This window comes from Homo sapiens, chromosome 2, assembly GCF_000001405.40.
Source record: "Homo sapiens chromosome 2, GRCh38.p14 Primary Assembly".
NCBI lineage: Eukaryota > Metazoa > Chordata > Mammalia > Primates > Hominidae > Homo > Homo sapiens.
Genome location: NC_000002.12, coordinates 126,758,449 through 126,771,081, shown reverse-complemented (window position 1 = coordinate 126,771,081; position 12,633 = coordinate 126,758,449). Strand labels below are relative to the sequence as shown.

General features: G+C 45.9%; 1 annotated feature.

The window, feature by feature from the left end:
• Positions 11,905-12,406: an enhancer, noted in NCBI's record as "NANOG hESC enhancer chr2:127516252-127516753 (GRCh37/hg19 assembly coordinates)". NCBI's record gives its function as "activates a minimal SCP1, AML or CMV promoter by ChIP-STARR-seq in naive H9 embryonic stem cells {active_cell/tissue: H9 hESC(naive)}" and the evidence as "EXISTENCE:reporter gene assay evidence [ECO:0000049][PMID:30033119]".

The following is a 12,633-nucleotide window of genomic DNA, read 5'->3' as shown; positions in this document are numbered from 1 at the left end:
GGGGACCATCTCTGGGGGTTCAGGTCAGCCGGCTCATGACCCACATCAGTCAGGAACCTTGCTATTACTGGGAACTCTTCACTTCAAAATAACTCCCTCCACTCTGTGCTTAAAGCTTCCCTCCTCCCACACGGCTGTCCATCTTGGGACCTCAGATCTCATCCCTCTACATCCTCCCAAGGCAGCAGCCCCTTTCTGCCCTCTTGTTCCTCCTGACCCAGGAGGATGAGACCCTGGCATTCCTCTTATGTTTCTTGCTACAATCCTTCATGCTTGCTTTCCCATACCCTAAACTTCCTCACCTGTGTTTCCCTCCAGCAAATCTGGTAAAGCCGCACTCCTGGGTGAGCCCTCCCTTCACTCTGCTTTCTCCCCACCTGCCCCTGCCTGGCTGAGCGCTGCAGGAAAGAGGCACACAGTGGGACAGGTGAATTCACTGACCTTGAGTGGGGCCTGCACCAGGCCAGCAAGTATGACTGTAGAGGGGACACTGGCTTGGTGTCATTGGTTCCTGCTCTCCCAGCTCTCCAACCCCTATTGACTTTGACATACAAGAGGCAAAACATAGGATGGTAGCAGAGAGTGACAGATTTGTCACAGTAGGAAAAACACAGCCCTGTTGGAAAATCATTCAATTAGTGGGCTGTGTTTGCTAAGAAGTCTCAATGGCCCCCAAGGAAGACAACATTGGGAAGACCAGATCTGGAGGAATTCACAGAGACACGGAGCCAATCCATGAGAAGCATCCTTGGTGGGCTAGCAGTCAGAGGCATGCAGAGACCGAGGGACTAAGGGCCATCATCAGAAGCTACAGGGAGACAGGGAAGAGAAGATAGCTAGAAACAAGTGTGGATGAGATTGTCTTGGGAAGGGCTGAGCAAAGAAAAGAGAAAGAGGTCCACAAATCCCCAGTATTGAAAGAGAAGGCAGAGGAGGGATGGCCAGGAGATAAAGGCACCCAAGGAGAGAAGGAGGCTACCCAGCAGCCAATAGCCCCAGATGAAAAACTGTATTTCCCAGCTTCTCAGCATTTGTCAAATTCAACAGGGGTAGGAGTAGCAAGTAAGACAAAAGTCATTAGATAGGGTTACTGGGAAAATCTTCTGTCTTTCCCCACTTGCACCTTGCTGCTGCTTGGGACTTGAATGTGATGCCTGGAGTTCTCACAGCCACCTTGGATCATTTGGTTACCAGAGGAGAAAATCCATGTACTAAAAAGGGCAGAGAAGAAGGGTAGAAGGAGGCTGAGTCCCTAATAACCTTGGAGCCACCACAGCAGCTTTGGGACAGCTCACCTATGGGTCTTTATTTATGTGAGAGAAGGCTAATCCTCTCGGACACTTATTGACAGTTGAGGGCATGGGTCCCGGGTAGTGGGAGGGTCCCAGATCTATGGGCTGAGTAGGAAGTGGTCATTAGGAGGCTGTGAGACACCTGGTGAGAGCAGTGGGTTGTGGGGTGGAGACAGGATGCAAGGTGTGAGGCTTGAACAGAAAAGAAGGATGGGGCAGGGGCCCATGAGAATTGAGCACTTTTTTTATGGATTGTGACTCAGTATGATGGAGAGATGAGATCAGTGTGATACGGACAGTGTGAGCCAAATGCATTTCTATGGCAGATACAGTCTTCCTTGGTGCCCACATAGAGCCCAGCACACCCTGGGGTCCAATGTGTTGGTGCAGGCAGGTGGAAAGTTGCTCAGCAGCCAGGCCAGGGAGAAGGCATGTTTTGCTGAGCTGTATCAGGCCCATTGCTGTAAGGGCTGGTTGGGTTTCATCTTGTTGCTTTCCCCAGAACCACCGGTAGGGGAGGGGCTTCTGAGTGACTCCCACCTTTGTCACTTAACCAAGCTGTATCCCAGCTTCCTCATTTGTGAGCTGGGGGTGCACCTTCCCACCGGAGGCAGGAGCTGTGAGGCTAACTCCAGATAATGCTCATGACATGTTCATCTTTGTGCCTGGTGTCTTCTCCATCCCTGACCTGACTCTAAGATCATGTTTCCAACAATGAAAGCCTTCATGAAGGATGGTGGCACCTACAAAGTATGTAGGATTTGGGGACAGCCTGACCCTTCTCCTGGCCCTACCTCTTCTGTTTACTTTTCCAGGGACCTCGGGCCAATTCTTTCACCCTCTGGCCTTGGCTTCCCATCTGTAAAACAGAAACAACACCTCAAATTAGCTGTGCAGGGGTTAAAAGAGGTGATGGGGGTCATACACCCACTCGAATGTCTTACATTAAAGACTTGGACAGTGAGGAAGGAGACCTGCTGTGGAGGGCTGTTCCATGGCCCCCACCTCTCCTGGAGACACAGCTTCCTCTTGGCTTCACTGAACCCCTAACATATGCCTGTTGGGGTTCACTGAAGCTCTGAAATGGCTGTTGCAAAATTTTTCAAAGGATTTGGTCTGTTTAATTCATTTTCTGGAAATACCCATGTTCTCAACGTAAGTAAGAATTATTCCAGAAATGACCAAATCCCCCTTCCTTGGGAGTTTGGTAGAATAAAGATGCAGAGGATGCGGTGGAGCCTGACTCTCCTCATCTGGGAAGACCTGGTGGGAGCAGGAAGTGGCAGAGATTGGCTGCCCAGAAGGTCATGGTGACCATGCCATGTGTCTAGGGGTGCCAAGCATAGGGTGGGGTCTAGAAGAAACTGGCCAGGCCCTTACTGGCCTTCTCCTCTGAAATGGTTTGGCTCTGTGTCCCCACCCAAATCTCACCTTTAATTGTAATAATCCCCACGTGTCAAGGGCGGGACGAGGTGAAGATAATTGAATCATGGGGTCGGTTTCCCCCATACTGTTCTGATGACAGTGAGTGAGTTCTCATGAGATCTGATGATTTCATAAGGGGCTTCCTCCTTCACTTGGTACTCATTCTGTCTCCTGCCACCCTGGGAAGAGGTGCCTTCCACCATGATTGTAAGTTTCCTGAGGACTCCTCAGGCATGCAAAACTGTGAGTCAATTAAACCTTGTTTCTTTATAAATTACCCAGTCTTGGGTATTTCTTCATAGCAGCATGAGAACAGACTAATACATCTTCTTCAGAACAAAAAGGCTGGGTAAGGGGGTGGGCACGGAGGTTCCCAGCAGTACTGTGCTCACGGCATTGTGCCAAGTGCATACTTGTCCTCCATCTGAGCCTCCACAACCCTAAGAGGAGATGTGGTCAGAAGCAACCCAAGGTTTTGCCAAGTGAAACTCCGTAAGGAGACAGAGCAAATTTCCAGATAGGCTGGGATCGGAGCCCACCCATGACTCCAGCTCTGTGTGTGTTTCCTCTGAGTCTTCCCTTGCATTGCTGTCCCAGAGAAAACACTCTGGAGCCCCCAGGAGGTGCCTCCTCTTGTGCTACTGCCCCTGGGGAGGGGGCTTCCTTCCCAAGTGGGCATGGGGCTATTGCTATCCCTGTTTATAAAAGAAGACACCAATTGTTGAGATGAGAGAGTGAGAGAGGAAAGAAGAGAGAGAGGGAGAGAGAGAGAGAGCACACAAGAGCAAGCAATGGAGGAGCAGCAACTGCTGCAGAGGGGGATGTTTTCATTGAATTTTCCATACGCTAGTCACTCGCCAGTGTGGAGATGATGCCAGGGAAGGTGGGTAATCATGTGAAACCAACATCACAAGATGGGGGTAGAGTCACTGAGCCCTGCTGTCTCTTAATGTTAGATGTTGAACACTTGGGCCAGTTGACTCAAACGTGATTTCGATCTTAAGTGTCCAGCAGTTTCCACCTGCGTAGAAGCTGCTGGCTCTAGGTCCTGCTATCGGGGGCTGTTCCTGGCATAGGCACTGGGGTTGGGGGTCCTCACAGACACCACGCTGGCTTGCTGTGTCCTCCTCTGGGGTGGGGCACAGACCTAGGATCCCCATGTGGATCACAGCACTGGGCACTCCGCCTATACTCCCTCCCAAGGCCGTCACATCAGAGCGCTCAGAGCTGCAGGGAGCTGAGCTCTGCAGAGTCCAGGGATCCACATCAGGGAGGCCAGCGAAGCCTAGAGGATCCTGCAGAGGGGAGGAGTAGCGGGCTGGGGAAGGTATGAGGAGATTTTCCAGAAAATCGCAGCTTATCCCTCTCTTCACAGAGATGCATCTCTTTCTGTGTGTGGTTGTGCTGTCTGCAGTCATATACATTGTATCCAAGGGGCTGGCAGTATTTTGATATAGTAACAGTGTGAATTTTGTTCTTGGTAATTCCTCTTTTAACCCAACTGCTTTTCAATTTAGACTTTGACGCTGAAACATTTTGGACTTTCCCTGGGGGGACCAAAGGAAGCAGTGCTTGCCTGTAGGTTCCTATGTGTGGAGGAACAACAGAGCCACTTCGGGTCGGGTGGATTGGGCATCTCTGGGTAGAGAAGGACTTTGCTTCCTTCCTTGGGATTGGAGTGGGAAGAGGCTCAGGGAAGCAGAAAATTCCTTGAGCCCCCTGTCTTCCCACCACCCCTGGCCTGACATAGTAGAATGGACCGGGCAGTGAGATAAATGAGAAAACCTTGGAATGTCCCAGACTGGGGCAGGAGAGCATCTGCAGACTTTCAGGCTTCTGAGAGGAGTACTTGCTGGCGAGAGAACAGTGCCCAGAGGGGAGCCTGGAGCCTCTGTAGGAGAACATCCTCTTAGACAGTGGAGACCAGAGACAACAATGGAGTGCTGGTCATCTCAGCAGCTCCCAGGAGCACCACAGGCCATGGCCAAGGACCAGACACCCTCCCTATGAAGTCCTTCAGAGCTCGGATACCACCCTGGTGAGAAACTTGGGAAGAAAACTGAACGCACTAGAGGAAAAGAGTATCATGCACATGAAATGCATGTGATTAAATTTTCTGGAATCAGCAGAATTGGGGCTTGAAATAGAAATTATGTCCAATTATAGAAAAGATTTTTTTTATAAAAACATACCTTCCATATTTTTTGAGTTACATCCCAGATTGACATCTTTGTGGCCTTTGTGGTCTTTGTGGCCTTGGAGATGAAAGTAAACTTGGTTTACCCCACCCCCCAATTCCACAGCCTGGCAGCTCAGCAAGCACTGTTTGAGCTTCACCGGGTATCTGGAGAGCAGCCTTCACTCTACGTTTTATGTTGAATCATTTCTTTAAATACAAACAGTGCTTGCCATTAGAATTTTTAAAATGCACTTTCTACCTTGCTTTTGCACTTACAATCTCACACTGTGTAATAATTTCATATAGAAATATTTTTGAAATGTACTGCCTTCTTCCCAGGTGAGTGAACAGGAGTTGACCCAGCAGGACCAACTCCTTGATGCCATGGCCATTGCCAGTTTGCTTTGTCCCTGTTCTGTGATGCCTGATGTTGAATGGAACTCCTAGCTGCTGCCAGCTGATCAGCTTGGTTAGGAGCAAAGTGAGCACAGTGCTTGGAAGCCCAGTAGTGGCCTCAGACCTCTTGGGCTATTCCACCACCCACTCAGACTCAGACCCCTCTGACATCCTTCAGACCCCAGGCTTGGTGGGCATCTGCAAGGCTTGCTGCAGAGCCTGATGCAAAATGAGCACGCCATAGATGATGGCTTGTTTCATTATTATTTATTGCTACCCAGGTCTAGACAAAGGCTATCAGAGGCAACAAAATAAGCGAGATCCTGTCACGTTTAAAAGGGAGAGAGATTATTAAATCACTACAAGGTTGAAGACATTTTTAGCTAGTCAATTTTATACAGTATTGATTGACTCCCATTTATGGAAGATGAGAGTATCAGTGCCATTTACATTTTTCCCCTGTATAACCTCTGACCAACTTTTCATTGTTATTTGTGTTTTATTTGATCTGGACATACAACATCCATATTCTGTTATATAAACAGGGTTCCTATATTTGTTCCATATTAGTTATAGATGTAAACAGATTCACTGCTCACCACCATTTTTTAAAATCTCATTTCTTCATCCCTGAGTTTTTATTTTGATTCCTCTTTTGTCTAGATTTTTTTTTTCTTTTTGCAAAATACTGTTTCAGGGAAAGACTACTGGATTTGGTAATCTCTGAGCTTCTTATTTCATGCCTGCATAAATTGATCTATTGCCTAAGTGACATTAAAAGTCATCTTGGTTTCTATACTTAGATGGCATCTTGGCTGGATATTACGCCCACCACCATTTTTTAAATAATCATTTCTTCATCCTTGGATTTTATTTTGATTCCTTTTACGTCTAGATTTTTTTTTTTTTTTTTTTTTTGCAAAGTACTGCTTCAGGGAAAGACTACTGGATTTGGTAATCTCTGAGCTTCTTTTTTTTTCATGCTTGCATAAGTTTACCAATTGCCTAAGTGATATTAAAAGTCATCTTGGTTTCTATGCTTCGATGGCATCTTGGCTGGATATTATGATCTGCTATTTCCTTCAGGACTTGTAGACAATACTCCCTTGTCTTTGACATTGCTATTGCTGTGGATTCATATATATGCTTTTTACCTTTTTAGGTTATTTATTGTCTGTCAGAATGGCTGGAAAATTCTTTCCTTATTCTTTAATTTTAATAGTTATCTAGGAAATAAGACATTTCAGTATTATGTGCTTTATATAAAAATTTCCCCGATTAGAATGTGCATTCTTTTAATCTACAGACTATTTTTTTCTCCGCAATTTCAGAAACTTTGAAAAGAAGACATTATCCATTGCAAGTGTTAGGACAGGCTTTCATTCCTATTGTCTGTTTCCGCTCGCTGCTATAGTAGTGTCCTTTATCCACAGGAGATACATTCCAAGGCCCCCAATGGATGCCTGAAACCGAGGATAGTACCAAATCCTATGTATATAGTCATCCCCTCCGTATCCACGGGGGATTGGTTTCAGGATTCCCCTGAATACCAAAATTTGAGGATTCTCAAGCCCCTTAAACAAAATGGCATAGTATTGGAGTGTAATCTACAAACATCCTCTTTATACTTTAAATCAATTCTAGATTACTTATGATACCTAATATAAAGTAAATGCTGTGTAAATAGTTGCTGGACTATATTGTGTAGGGAATGATGAGAAGAAAAAAGTATGTATGTGTTCAGTACAGCTGCAACCATCCACTTCGTGTGTATCAATCAACTATCTACAGTTGGTTGAATCCACAGATGTGGAACCCATGGATATGGAAGGCCAACTGTGCTGTGTTTTTTTGATCTGATAACTGGGATGGCTAGTGAGTAACTAATGGGCAGGTCATATATACAACACAGATGCATGAGACCAAGGAGATGATTCATGTCCCAAATGGGATGGAGTGGGTTGGTGGGATTTCATTGCTGCTGTTCAGAACAGTGCACAGTTTAAAACTTATGAATTGATCATTCCTAAAATTTTCAATTTAATATTTTTAGACTGTAGTTGATCAGAGGTAATGGAAACCTCAGAGAAAGGAAAACTACTGTATCTTTTCTGCTCTCTTTCCTTTCTTCATCTACGTTCATTATCCAGTCACTTAACCTCACTGAGCCTGCTGCCTCATATAAAGTTGGAATAATATACCTATCTCAGGACAGCTCCTAGGATTAAAAGACTTAATATATGTAAAGCTCTTAAGAAACAGTGCTCAGACCAGAGCAAGTCGTGGAAAAGTGGTTGTGATTTTTATTATTATGGATTTTTAACATTATTATTACTCGTCATAGTGAAATGGTTCATTGCAAGGACTCTGGAGCCAGACTGCCACATATTAGCTGTGTGACCTTGGGAAGATACTTAACCTCTCAGTTTCTTGTTTTTGTCCTTTGTAAAATGCAGTTAATACTTGTCCTTACCTCAGGATTATTATGAGGATTAATAGTTAGTAAAGTGCTTAGAACAGTACTGGCATGCAGTAAGTGTGCTGTATGTGTTGTTCAGTAAACATTTCCTGAAGCTTTTCCTGCAGAAAAGCAATTATTTTCAGTAGTGTTTATTCTGTTTCTTGCTGTTTCTAATGTGTTATCTGTAATGATGTTTTGATATTAATTTGCTTCTGTATGTCTATAATGTTTTTTCACTTCGTTCTGTTTTATCATTCTGTCACTGAGCTCTCTTGTTATTGACTTTACACCCTTTTAAGTTGTACTTTAAAGCAATTCTGGAACATTTCTTTTCACTCCTTGAGTGATGTTTTCTTCTAGGTAGGGTTCTTTGTTCTTGAATGCTCTTTCCCTTTTCTTCATTGTTAGTGTGTGTGTACGTGTGTGTGTGTTAGTGTATACTGTGCATATCTGTGCTCCTTTGTGTAAGTGAATCTTTTTTTTTTTTTTTTAATCTTGCCTTCTGCTCAGGCAGCATTGTCCAGAGCTTCTGTCTGCTCCACTCAACACTGTGGTGACTTTCTTCTTTGTCTGAGGCACCTTACTTCCCCCTTGAGAGCCTCTGTTTCACTGGATTACTGCAGCCTGAGGGCATGGCACAGGGATGGATAGGGTACAGGCTCTGAGAGCCCTGGGCTGGGGCTTGCCTCAGATGGCTGAAGTGTTGACACTGGGAAAAACACCTGCATGAACCTGTTCCCCATTACTAGAGGTGGGGTTAGGGGAGGGTTAGACCTTTACTCATGTCCCAGTAGCCAGCAACCACTTCCATTTTTTTCAGTAAGAAAGGACAAGACCCCCACTCCTTCAACTCCAGTTTTCTTCACTCTGGGCTTGAGGGTGCTCGTGAGAATGCTCAGCGTTTTTCAGACTTGCCAGTGTGTTCTTTGGGGTGGGGCAGGTTAGCCTCGGTGAGGTGGGCGGCTTCCTGTCTGGGTGTGTAGAGCACCAGCTTGTGGCCTGCTCTTCCTTTGGTTGCTGTTGGAGAAACTTTTTTTGGAGGGGGTGGGGCCTTTAATGTATGCTTCCACTTGTTTTTTAAAAAAACATAGTAAATTAATTTTCTTTTATTTTTCCCCAACTTTACTGAGATATAGTTGATAGTTAAACATCACATGGGTTTAAGTTGTCCAACTTGAGGATCTGATACACATATATGCTGGGCTTTCAGTAGCTGCTGCTTATGTGGTTGGAGACTGGGCTCAGAAGCCCTGTGACCCAGTTGCTTTTAGCCAGCTTAACTGTCTTTTGATTAATCCTTTTCTTTTTTTGTCACTGCCTCCCCAGCAATCTTTAAGAGACTACTATGTTATCAAATCTATATAGTAAGCCAGAAAAATGCCTCTGAAACTGGAATAAGGGCTTTAAAATGTGGCTAATATCTGCTATTCCCTTCTTCCCTTGACTGAATGAAGAAGCACAGTCACCCCGAAACTGGGCTGATTCCAAGGCACTCCCAAGTTTGCAGAGAAGTATAAATTCTCTCAACTGTCTTACAGCCTGAAGGACAGCAAGGGTCAGGTTGGGTAATTTTAATTATATTCAGTTAGCATGTCTTGAAGCCCATAAATCTAAATGCCAATAAATTAATATATTATTCTGAGTGCCTCCCAGCCACAGCATTAAATCACTTATGCAGGGAGTGCCACGAAGAATGGGGCAAACTCCCAGAAGCACAAGCATTTCAGTTTTTCTGTAGTAATCTGTCATTAATGGGGCCTGCAAATTCCCGTGTCCACACATGTGAGCAAGAAAAATGGAATGTGCCCCCTAAGCATGAACTCGGCCCACTATGCCCTTGGCTTCTGTGCAGCTGTCCATGCCCAGAGCCTCCATGACAGCGGCCTAGTCATTCCTCTCCAGGAGCCTGGTCTGGTTTCAGGGGCAGGTGCTTCTTTTTGTGTAGGACGTTTAGAGTCAGGCTGAGTTAAAGTGCCTCTGGTCTTTACTGTTTGATATCAGGAAGGATTTCAAACCCCACCTTTGATACTCAGGCTGTTGCAGGGGGCCTTGGGTTTGAGCAGGCTGGGATGAGGGTGAGGCAGGTGAGGTGCCACTTCCAGTTGATGATGGAATCCTGCTGTGCATGTACAACATTAGAGCTTGATGGGCAAGACAACATCCCACTCATGATGGGGGGCTAAGGTTGCATGGAAACTTGGCCTCTTCACTAAGACCCAGTAGCAGCCAAGAGCTCTTTCTCAAAAGGAGAGTAGTTATCTGCAGAGGACGGCTCAGTTTTACTCTGGAATCCTGGACTATGATTCACGTATAGGAGCCTGCTGCAGGCCCCGAACAGTGTCCCTGTCACTGCCACTTCATGCTGGATTCAGTGGCCCAAGTGGCAGATGAACTTTCATAGCAGTCTGGACCCATTGCAGAGTGTTCTTTCTTGTTTTATGCCCCATTCAAAATGAACAGCTTTTCAGGGTTCTCAGGAAACAGGCTGGAGTAGAACACCCAAATGAGGAATATGTTGCTGCTAAAATCCAAGTCCTCCACCATCCCATGGGTGCTGTGCCCTTCGTTTGGTTGTGGGAGGGGCCAGGTGCAGTACTGTGTCCTTTACACTAGCAGACATATCTCAATATGCCCTAGAACACTGGGTCCCTACAAGTTTTGATGAAGTGGAAGGACCCTGAATTTTTGTGGGATTTATTTCCCAGCCTCTAGCACATAGATGTTTTATCAACATGTCTGCAGTAGTTGCTGCATCTTGCTCACTCGTCAGCATCCCGTCATCAATTTCATGGACTCTTTTGGAAGAGAAGAGTGATCAAAATCCCTGCAGACTAAACTATGAGAGAAGGGTGGAGAGTTGCTATACTCCTGAGATATGCCCCTGAGACAGACCTGGGCAACTGAAAGCAGACTGCTTCTGTGGTCTTTACTAATAGGTAAACAGGGAAAAGAAAGTACTCACCAGATCAATGGCTGCAGAGCAGGTACCAGGGGATGTGTTAATTTGTCTAAGAAACGAAGCCACATCTGGAACAGCAGCTACAATTGGAGTCGCCACCTGGTTAAGCTTATGATAATCCACTGTCATTCTCCAAGATCCATCTGTCTTCTGCACAGGCCGGATGGGCACGTTGAATGGGGATGTGGTGGGAATCACCACCCCTGCATATTCCAAGTCCTTCTCTCCAGGAGTGTGGAATTGATTTTGGTTTACTATTTTTGTAGATAAAGGCAATTATAGTGGCTTCTACTTTGTCTTTCTCACCATCATAGCCCTCACTCCACAGACCAGGGGACCAATGCAGGGATTCTGCCTGCTGCTGAGTATGTCTGTGGCAATGATGAACTCCAGAACTGGGGAAGTAACAGCAGGATGCATGTGGGGACCCCCAGGACCCACTGTAAGATGGAACTAAGCTAAAACTCCATTGACCACACAGCCTCCTTAAGCCCCTATGCTGACTCGTGGGTCACAGTGATGTCTGGGGTCTCTTGGAATCAATGTCAATTCAGAGCCAGTGTCCAGTAGTTCCCAAAAGGTCTAATTATTTCCTTTCCCCCAATTCACAGTCACCCTGGTATATGGCCATAAGCTCCTTTGGGGAAGGCTGGGCAAAAGATTAATAGTGTAAATTTTGGGCAGTATAGTGGGGGTCCTTCCTCAAGGGGACCTGGCCTCCCTTGTATTCAGGGGGCTCTGCATCTGTAACTTGGCTTGTCTGGGAGTTGGTTGATTGGGGAAATTTTCTGTTTTGGTAATTCAAATCAGAATCTATTCACTGGACCTAGAGTTCTTCTGATGACACAGATGAAGTAAGAATTTAGTAGGCTGCCCATCAGTTTCTCTTCCAGGGACACTGTGATCAACCAACCAACACCATGGATCTCTGTGCACTGGGGTCTTCTGACTGCTGCTTTCCCCCTCTGACGAGTACGGTCCTTAGCCTGACATAAGAGGTTGTCCAGGATCTGGCCACAAGCTCTTTCTTCAGCCTCAGCTCTCTCCTCTCCCTGTCTTGAACTCTGGGCCCCAACAACACTGAAATGTACATACTCTATTCTCTCCCTAGTCAGGCCGTTTCTCACTCCTAGGCCTTTACTGGGGCTGTCTCCCCTGCACAGAATGTTCCACTCACTCAGTATGATCTGACTCCGTGGGAAAGAGGCTCTGTGTCCTCAAGACCTCCCCTATACTTCTCTGTTCCCATCCTTTACCCCAGTGTTTGGTCCTCATCTACTTTCTTTTCTCTTCCCCCACTGTCTGTGAGTTCCTCCAGGAGAGGGCTGTCTGTGGGACTCAGCTTTGCGTCCCCAGTACAGGCATTAGTACTGAGCTAGCATGTGAGGAATGTTCTATGGAAGTGTGATTTTAAACTCTGGTGCTGAAAGTGTCTGAAAGATGCATTTGATGGCTCTCTGACTCACCTGTGCAGGTGAGAGATGCAGACATTCCAGTGCATTCTTATGGGTTTAGGTGAGATGTAAAAGGTGCATTCTCAAATGTCACTTAATATTCTCCATTTTGCATGTTCAGTCAGTGAGGCTGGAGATGGAACATACCCTGCATGATTTTTTTTTTTTTTTTTTTTGCTTTTGACAGCCTTTGCTGTCTGTCAACATGATTCCCCATAAATTGTTCTAATTTATAAGGTGTTTCACACTGCAGGAGGCTAGCAGAGGCAGGAGTTTGGTGGGGTGAAGGAGTCAGCTCCTTGGCTTGTAAAGCTGTTTGTGTTCATGTAGAATGTCAGAGAGAGACTGCTTCCCTGGCTGGGGCATGGGATCAGCTGGGCAGGAACTTTAATTAAAGGCAAAAAGTTGCCACTCCTGGGCTTCACAACCTCCACCAGCTTTGAGTTCTGCTCTGCAGCCCCTGGAAA